This window comes from Homo sapiens, chromosome 1 (assembly GCF_000001405.40).
Source record: "Homo sapiens chromosome 1, GRCh38.p14 Primary Assembly".
NCBI classification, from domain to species: domain Eukaryota; kingdom Metazoa; phylum Chordata; class Mammalia; order Primates; family Hominidae; genus Homo; species Homo sapiens.
In genome coordinates this window covers 21,282,608-21,291,259 of record NC_000001.11, presented here as the reverse complement: position 1 = coordinate 21,291,259, position 8,652 = coordinate 21,282,608, and the positions used below count along the sequence as shown (strand labels likewise).

At 51.9% G+C, this 8,652-nt stretch overlaps 1 protein-coding gene across 7 annotated transcripts in view, besides 4 other annotated features; it reads left to right on the top strand.

Annotated features, from left to right (window-relative positions):
• Nucleotides 1-8,652, top strand: part of ECE1 (endothelin converting enzyme 1) — a 128,255-nt gene that overhangs the window by 54,245 nt on the left and 65,358 nt on the right. For 5 of the 7 annotated variants that reach the window (NM_001113348.2, XM_011540873.3, XM_011540872.3 and 2 more), the window contains exon 2: nt 1,104-1,190. In NM_001113348.2, coding sequence (NP_001106819.1) covers nt 1,104-1,190 — 87 coding nt within the window. Of the gene's footprint in view, nt 1-796; nt 897-1,044; nt 1,191-8,652 lie in introns of those variants that run through there. The other 2 variants (NM_001397.3, NM_001113349.2) reach the window with 2 other exon arrangements.
• Nucleotides 716-895: a silencer, noted in NCBI's record as "silent region_378". NCBI's record gives its function as "represses an Ori minimal core promoter by ATAC-STARR-seq in GM12878 lymphoblastoid cells {active_cell/tissue: GM12878}" and the evidence as "EXISTENCE:reporter gene assay evidence [ECO:0000049][PMID:35858748]".
• Nucleotides 946-1,115: a silencer, noted in NCBI's record as "silent region_377". NCBI's record gives its function as "represses an Ori minimal core promoter by ATAC-STARR-seq in GM12878 lymphoblastoid cells {active_cell/tissue: GM12878}" and the evidence as "EXISTENCE:reporter gene assay evidence [ECO:0000049][PMID:35858748]".
• Nucleotides 1,792-2,353: an enhancer, noted in NCBI's record as "H3K4me1 hESC enhancer chr1:21615400-21615961 (GRCh37/hg19 assembly coordinates)". NCBI's record gives its function as "activates a minimal SCP1, AML or CMV promoter by ChIP-STARR-seq in naive H9 embryonic stem cells {active_cell/tissue: H9 hESC(naive)}" and the evidence as "EXISTENCE:reporter gene assay evidence [ECO:0000049][PMID:30033119]".
• Nucleotides 6,761-7,622: an enhancer, noted in NCBI's record as "H3K27ac-H3K4me1 hESC enhancer chr1:21610131-21610992 (GRCh37/hg19 assembly coordinates)". NCBI's record gives its function as "activates a minimal SCP1, AML or CMV promoter by ChIP-STARR-seq in primed H9 embryonic stem cells {active_cell/tissue: H9 hESC(primed)}" and the evidence as "EXISTENCE:reporter gene assay evidence [ECO:0000049][PMID:30033119]".

The following is an 8,652-nucleotide window of genomic DNA, read 5'->3' as shown; positions in this document are numbered from 1 at the left end:
CCTCTCTGGGGTTCTTGGTTGGGACAGTGCTGGGCCTGAGTCCCTAACTGAACACCTCATATCCGAGAGAGCCCCCTTTCCCTGCCTAGGGTTATAGGAGAGGGCTCAGGGGCTGGGGAGGGGGGCACCTGGCTGAGGCTCCGAGTCTTGAGGGGGAAGATGGGAAAGAAGGGTCCCCTTCCTGGCTTCTGACTCCCCCTGGAGCAATGGTTCTCTTGTGTTGCAGGGAGGGCGACACCTTTGAGCACGGGGGTGACCACCGGACCACCCTGCAGCCATCCAAATGCACACACACAGCTCCTTTCATCCCGTGTCAGGGAGTTCTCTGAAATTTTCTGAAACTCATTCACGAACTCTGGCTTAAAGGCCTCTGAGCTAGAAAGGGGAACTGAAAGGGGACACCTACCTTTTTACCCCACCTTTTTTGTCTGGTCTTTCTAGCATTAACCCCCTAGACACACCTAAGGGCTGATGCCGGGGGGAACCTGTCTTGATTGCTCTGGGCCACATCGAGGGCACCTTCCTGATACTTTTGTTATCTGCCACTGGGGACCCGGTTGTTGAAGGGGGACTTAAGATTTTCTCGAAGGAGGGGTCACTGTGAGGGCCTTTCCTGCCTGCTAGGGGCTTCAGTTTGGGGGCCCCCACTCCCGACCTCCGGGGAAGGGAGGGGTCCCCATCTCCCCCGGGCCTCTCGGGTCTTGGGGTCTCCCCGGGAGGCCGGAGGTTGGGAACCGGGCGCCGGCGAACCGATCAGGCCCCGCCCGCGAAGGTGGTGCAACGCCTGGCCCGGCCCATCCCATCCCGGCCACCCGGGCAGCGGGACCAGGCGTCTGGGGCACAGCATGCGGGGCGTGTGGCCGCCCCCGGTGTCCGCCCTGCTGTCGGCGCTGGGGGTGAGGCGGGCGCGGCCTGGAGGGCGGGGGCGGGAGGCGGGCGGGACCCCTCCCCGCGCGGGCCGCTCCGTGGGCCGGTCTCGGTCTCGGGTGTCCAGGCCGGGGCGGGGCGCGGCGGCGGCGGCGCCAGGGTCGGGGCCGCTTCCCCATTCGGGCGCGAGAGCCATGGAGGCGCTGAGGGAGTCCGTGCTGCATTTGGCCTTGCAGATGTCGACGTACAAGCGGGCCACGCTGGACGAGGAGGACCTGGTGGACTCGCTCTCCGAGGGCGACGCATACCCCAACGGCCTGCAGGTAGGCGCCCTCCGCTCCCTCCCGAGGTCCAGGCGCCCCGGGCCCGGGCATGCGCGCTGCCGCTGCCGCGCCCCCCGCCCCTACCTACCCCGCCTCTTCCCCTCCCTTCCCCTCCCTCGTCCCGGCATCCGGGAGGGGCCGCGCCTCCCCGCAGCTGGAGCTCCGCGCTGAGAAGCCTTCCGGAGCCCACCAGTCTCCCCTCACCTGCCCCCGCCATCCCTAGAGCCTCCCGGCCACCTGCTTCTGGGGCCACAGCCCAGGTGGCAGAGTTGAAAGCACCCCCGAGACCCGAACTGGTCCAGTTCCCTTTCCACAGAAGGCACAGTTTGTGCATGTCCCGGGACTTGCCCAGGCCCTTTACCGGCAGAGTCTACGGCTGTTTCTGTTTTAGCGTGGAAAGCCCTGCATCCCTGGAACCCACTCCCCCAGTCCGGGGCAAACTGGGAAAGTTGGTCACCTTATCCGGGAGGCAGTACCACCCTCTTCCTCTTGCCCTCCCAATACCTGAGTTTCCTGGGGCCAGAAACCTGTTCTCTGCCCCCTCTCCCTGCCCCTTTTCCAGCCTACTAAGGAAGTCCAATTCCTCCCCTCCCCAGGGTCTCCGCCCGTGGGCATCCCATCTGCCCACTCCTGGGGAGGGCCCCACCCCCGTCCCTGCCTTGTAACAGGACATTGAGCAAGGCTGCTTTCTGCCCTCCCGTCCCTGGGGGGCTGCACTGGGACAGTTGTGGCCAAGACCTCAGTGCTGGAGGGGTTTGGAGCCAGCCAGGTGCGTGGGAAGGTGCTGGAAACGCTGCGGACACCCTAGGAGACCCAGTGATCTGGCTCTTGAGAAGCCAGTGTAGAAAGAGGAGCTGGGGCACCCCAATTCTCGGAGGACTTCTGCCAGGTAGACCAAGGGAAGTATTTGGGAGAATCTTGGGGCCACTTGGTGAACTGGCACACAACTCTTCCCAAAGGCGAGCTTAGGATGAATGGACGCTTAGTTGCCAGGCCCACTCCACTCAGATACGCCTCTTAGAAGCGGGAATAATCCTCCCAGCGCAGGGAGACACCATTGATGGAGTTCCTCCTCCAGGGTCACATAGGCCCAGGGGACCCAAACTCACAGTCCCAAGGGCTCTACCCACTGGGATGTGTGGTACCCCTGCTTAACCTTCAGGAACACCCCTGAGACCTGTAGGGATTACTGTCCCCACTTACAGATGTGGAAACTGAGGCTCTGAGAGGGGCAACCACTGGCCTTCGGTCACCGAGCTAAAAATCCGAGAGCGACACGTCAAACCCTGTCTGTCTCAAACCTCTTCCCAGTGGACTCTTCTTAAGAGGCTGAAGCCAGCAGGAAATTAGATTTCTGGGGCAGGTGCTTTTCCCTTCTCAAATCAAAACAGAATCTAATCAGCAATGTTTTTCAGTCTCATCTTCCACAGAAGGGTCTAAATATATCAACACAAAAGCATTTCAGAATTCACAGCAAAGTAATAATGCCATGTTGCTGTTATCCTCACAGCAGCCTGTTTGGGGTATAACCTTTTTCAGATGAAATAGCACATTTCTCTGGGGAGGGCCCCCGGCCAAGCAGGAGGAGCCCCGTCTCTGAAGCCAGCGACCCGGGTTTGAGTTCTTACTCCACTCACGACCTTGGGCTAGTGGCTTAATCTCTTTCAGTGGTGATGGCCTCACTGTGAAATGGATGTTAGAGAAAGTGGATGTCATACATATTATATGCAGCCTGCTAGGATTATTGTTTTATGACCCATGAAGTAAGGGCTGGCGTGGCCACATTATTGATGATAAAGGTGAGGGACAAAGAGAGGTTAGAGACATTCCTGGGGTCACGTCGCTGTTGTCTATGGTTGGAGTTAGTGTCCTGTCCCCAAATGGATACATTTTCCACTTTCCTTGCAGGAAAAGGCAAAGAGGTTATGCAAGGATTTGGGGCATTTTTGTGGGTACCCAGCTTGGCTTGTGTGGTGTTGCCACAACTTCCCCAAAGTGAACATGAAGTAGCCAGTGCTTGCTTTTCTGAGTCAAGGACCCATTCATCTCCATTTATGAGGCAGAGTATTCTATTAATTGAATGTTTTCAATCATTGTTTTTTTTTTTTTCCCCAGTGTAAAAGCTTTATATGCTCACTTGGGGGAGAAAAAAAGATAGTCAAGTATAAAAAGGAATTAAAAACGGAGCAGTAATCCTGCCACTTGGAGATAACGGTTTCTAGTTTTTCACACTTGTATGTATGTATTTTTAAACATAGTTGAGCTCACTGTAAATACACAATGTTATATCCCGCATTTTTCATTCAGCATCTTCTACATTGTCAGAAACTTCCGAAACATGCTGCCATTAAAAATCATAACACCTCATGGTACCAACATATAAAAATATATTTATTCAATCCACTGTAGTTGGACACTTAGGCGCAACTGCTGTCACTCTGTGGGTGACCCATTTTTAGCTTTTCAGATTATTACCTTTGGGCCGGTTGCTAGCGACACAACTTCTCTCTCAACTTTATTTATTTATATTTATTTATTTATTTTGAGACAGAGTCTCTCTCTGTTGTAGAGGCTGGAGTGCAGTGGCGCGATCTCAGCTCACTGCAACCTCCGCCTCCCAGGTTCAAGCAATTCTCCTGCCTCAGCCTCCGGAGTAGCTGGGATTACAGGCGCACGTCACCACGCTCGGCTAATACTTGTATTTTCAGTAGAGACAAGGTTTTGCCATGTTGGCCAGGCTGGTCTCGAACTCCTGCCCTCAGGTGATCTGCCTGCCTCGGCCTCCCAAAGTGCTGGGATTGCAGGCATGAGCCACCACATCCAGCCTGTGCTCTCAATTTTAGACTTTTTAAAACAGACCCTTCATCCCAAATCTTTTCTCTTGATGGACAGCTAAAAAATAAGCTATTTGATTTTTCAAGATTTTGAAGTCCATTCGTTTTAGGAAGTCCCAAGTGATCAACACCAATAACTAATAAATGAACACTTCCATTTTTCAGCCAAACTTGACACATTTGTTACTTTATTACTTGCCACATTTATTTATTTTTTATTATTGGACCTGCTGGCCAATGTTGAATTTAACCAGAGCAAAATTCTACCTGTACCTCACCTGAAAGGGTTTTTCTTTTTCTTTTTTTTTTTTCTTTTTTTTGAGACAAGGTCTCACTCTGTTGGCCAGGCTGGAGTGCAGTGGCGCAATCTGGGCTTACTAGCAGCCTTGACCTGTGATTCTCTCACCTCAGCCTCCCAAATAGCTGGAACTACAGGCATGTGCCACCATGCCTGGCTAATTTTTTGTATTTTTAGTAGAGATGGGGTTTTGCCATGTTGCCCAGGCTGGTCTCGAACTCCTGGCCTCAAGTGATCCTCCTGCCTCAGCCTCCCAAAGGGCTGGGATTACAGCCACCGTGCCTAACCTGTTCTTTTTCTTTATCCCATATTTTAGGCACAGATTACTTGCAGTCTACTAAAGTGAGTCACTCTGAACCAAGCACAGAATTCAAAGGAAGCTGGCTCTAACTTGGAGCCCCAGCTCTGTCTCTCCTGCGCTGTGAGACCTGAAAGCAACTCACTTCCACAGCTTTCTTTGTAAAATGGGGTTAATATTATTAGCCCACCTCTCAGAGCTGTTGCAAAGGCTCAGTGGGACAGTATGAGGGAAAGCATTTTGGATAATGCTTAGAAAATGGATTTGGTTATTAGGTTATTACAAGGATTATTACAGAAACTCACTATGAGTGACATGATATAATAATATACATCTAAATATGCTAGCTTTTGCTCTGAAGCCTCTTGCTCTGCCAAAGCCAGCTGCCTGATCTTCCCACACCTGAACATACACCATTTTCAGCGGCAGGAAGGGATATAGCTGAAGTTACACCTGCAGCCTGAACTGAGGAGCAGATGGCCATGTCTACCAAAACCTTTGAAATTCATTCAATTACTTCTAAAAATCTTTTTTTGTTGTTGTTAAGAAAAAAAGAAAGGTGAGATATTAAATTCTTAGTTATAGTTTTCTCATTTTTTTCCCACCTTGCACAGGGCTCTCTTCTCTTCTCTTTTTTTTTTTTTTTTTTGAGACAGAGTCTTGCTTGTTGTCCAGGCTGTAGTGCAGTGGCACAATCTCAGCTCACTGCAACCTCCACCTCCTGGGTTCAAGCAATTCTCCCACCTCAGCCTCCCCAGTAGCTGGGATTACAGGCGTGCGCCACCATGCGTGACTAATTTTTGTATTTTTAGTAGAGATGGAGTTTTACCATGTTGGCCAGCCTGGCCTCAAACTCCCGACCTCAGGTGATCCACCTGCCTCGGCCTTCCAAAGTGCTGGGATTGCAGGCATGAGCCACTGTGCCCAGCCTTTTTTTTTTTTTTTTTTTTGAGGCAGGGTCTTGCTCTGTTGCCCAGGCTGGAGTGCAGTGGCGTGATCATGGCTCACTGCAGCCTTGAATTCCTGGGCTCAAGCGATCCTCTCACATTGGCCTCCCAGAGTGCTGGGATTACAGATATGAGCCGTCATGCCTGGCCAAAGCTGTCTTTCCAGGGTGATTTCAGGGACAAGCCCGCTCAATACTTTAAAAAGACATGTCTGTTTACCTGGAGTTGTTATCAACTCTGTTTGCCTATTATATAGCCTTGAGGTTTGAGAGTCTGAGAAGTCACACCTGGGACCTCAATCAGCCTCCTCATTTTAGAGATGGGAGACTGAGGCCCAGAGACTGCCCAGCAACACACAGTGGGATATTTGACTTCTCAGGGTTACCATCTTTCTCCCATGCTGTGGGGAGCTGGGTGTTCCTTCTGGGAAGCGATGAAAGTTGGAAAGTACTTGTAAATATTAGCCTTTGATTCTTGCTAAGATGTGAGGAGTGCCCTCCCCTACAACGGATCATATTTTAAGCTGTTACCAGTCATTTAAAGTCAGGCATCTGGGTGGGGTAGCAGACAAGGCTCAGGCAGAGACAAGAGGACACAAGGACTTGAGAATTTTGCTCTGGACTGACCCCATTGCCTCAGCCAGAAGGCCACCTCATGGAAACTTTACTGGAAGAAACTTCCCCAAACTGACTTTGGGGAACTTTCGGAGGCAGGGTTCCTCGCAGGCTGGGCTGTCACAGTCGACTTGCTCTCAAAGGCTTACTCCAGGGAGCCTGGTGCCCCTGCCAGCGCTCCCAGGTGGCTGGGTTTCTGGGCTGCAGAGGGGTGGGATCCCTGCCAGACCCTTGCCCAGACCACTCCCATTGCTGCTTCGTGCAGCCCAGGTTGCTGGGTTCTGCCTTCCCTTCCGACCTGACTCTGAAAACCTGGCTTCACCTGGCTCCCCACCCTTTCTGCTCCCGGCTTGTCTCGTGGGCCCCAGGCAGCAGGCCCCATCCTCACCTGCAGAACTTGTTCTTGCTGTAAGCCTAGGTGAGCCAAGCACTCACTTCTGTAACCAAATATGTGTCCCGGATTAGGGCTTTGTTCCCTTGGCTGTGGAAACCCTGGGAACTCCTGGCTGGATAGCGCTGCTCTTTTTCCCTTACTCTAGCTCTCTCGCTCTTTCTGTTTCTCTGGCTCTCTCATTTCTTTGTCTCATTCTCCACCTCTCTCTTTTGAGGGCACCCCCTCCTTCTCATTCTCTTTCTGCCTCCCACGACAATAAGTAGGAAATTAAGCCCACCAGCGAGCTGAGCATCTGCAGTGATTCTGCATCTTCCAGGCATCAGCGCTGCCTCTTAGCGGATGGCCATTTCACAGTCCCCTCTCCTGAGATGGACTGGGCTGCCTGCCACCAATCCTCCTACCCTCCAAGCTGCTTAGGCCAGTCTCCCATGCTTGACGGGACCTCATTTCCAAAAGAAACGTAAGAAACCAGTCACATCTCCCCATGCTGTGACCTCATCTCACGGATCCCCTCCACAGTCCCATGAAGGAGGCTGGGCAGGTGCGACAGGGATGCAAAGAAGAGACTCAGCCGAGGCCAGCGGCCATTGGAAGCAGATCGGTGCCCTGACTCACGGCCCAGCCCTTTCCATTGCACCCAGGAATTGGCCACCCTGCCCTGGAGAGGCCTCCTGATCCTGGCCTAGTACCTCTAGGTGACTTCTCCTGCCCCAGGGTGAGGCATCTGGATTCGTTCTGCCTTTAGAGACAAGGCTTATCCAGAAACCATGAGGCCCGTAGCCGATAGTACAAGTCAAGCAAAGAACAAGACAAAGGTTAAAAACTCCATTTTCAAACTCCATTTGCCATTCTTGCCTGGAACTATGAATTTTTAATTCAATTCTGGCTTAATTTTAATTTAATTTTGCAGTGAACACCATCTGTTTAGATTCAGCACTTTGCATCAAACAGTGAGGGTCAGCTCCACTTCCTGTGGTAGGTCTGCGGCTGCCAGTCCTGGAGACGTGGGTTGCCTCACTGTTCTCTCTCCTCTCTCCTTGCCTTCATGCCCCGACTTCCTGGGTTTCTTCTGGAGCTAACGCTAATACCTACTCTTAGGAATGTTGTGAAGATAGGCTGGGTGCAGTGGTTCACGCCTGTAATCCCAGCACTTTGGGAAGCTGAGGCGGGCAGATCACCTGAGGTCGGGAGTTTGAGACCAGCCTGGCCAACATGGTGAAACCCTGTCTCTACTAAAAATACAAAAATTAGCCCGGCGTGGTGGCGGACACCTGTAATCCCAGCTACTCGGGACGCTGAGGCAGGAGAATTGCTTGAACTCGGGAGACAGAGGTTGCAGTGAACAGAGACCTCTCCACTGCACTCCAGCCTGGGCGACACAGTGAGACTCTGTCTCAAAAAAAAAAAATTTAAAAAAAATTCAAAAAAAGGAATGTTATGGGCCGGGCGCTGTGGCTCACGCCTATAATTCCAGCATTTTGGGAGGCCAAGGCGGGTGGATCACGAGGTCAGGAGATTGATTGAGACCATCCTGGCTAACACGGTGAAACCCCATCTCTACTAAAAATACAAAAAATTAGCCAGGTGTGGTGGCATGTGCCTGTAGTCCCAGCTACTTGGGAGGCTGAGGCAGGAGAATCTCTTGAACCCGGGAGGCCAAGGTTGCAATGAGCCGAGATGGCGGCACTGCACTCCAGCCTGGGTGAGAAAGCAAGACTCCGTCTCAAAAAAAAAAAAAAAAAAAAAATAATGTTGTGAAGATAGAATTGCACTATCAAAATAGAATTAATATGATCCCAGGCCCTTAGCACTCAAGTATTTATTTGCTGCCATTGTTCTTTTTTCCCTTTCCTATCCCTCTGTTTCTTTCATCTTCCCCTTCTGTTCCTTTCTTCTCTCCCTTCTCTCCGCAGATGGCTTTGCTCCTTGCTCTTAGCTGTCTCCTTGTCGCCCACACCATGACATTTCCCTGTACATTTAAGGTGAGGTTTTCCTGCATCCCAAGCCTAGTGGCTGCATCCTTTGGCTCCCTGGAGCCAGCACCAGGCACAGGGGTACCTCTTTTCTTTTCTTTTCT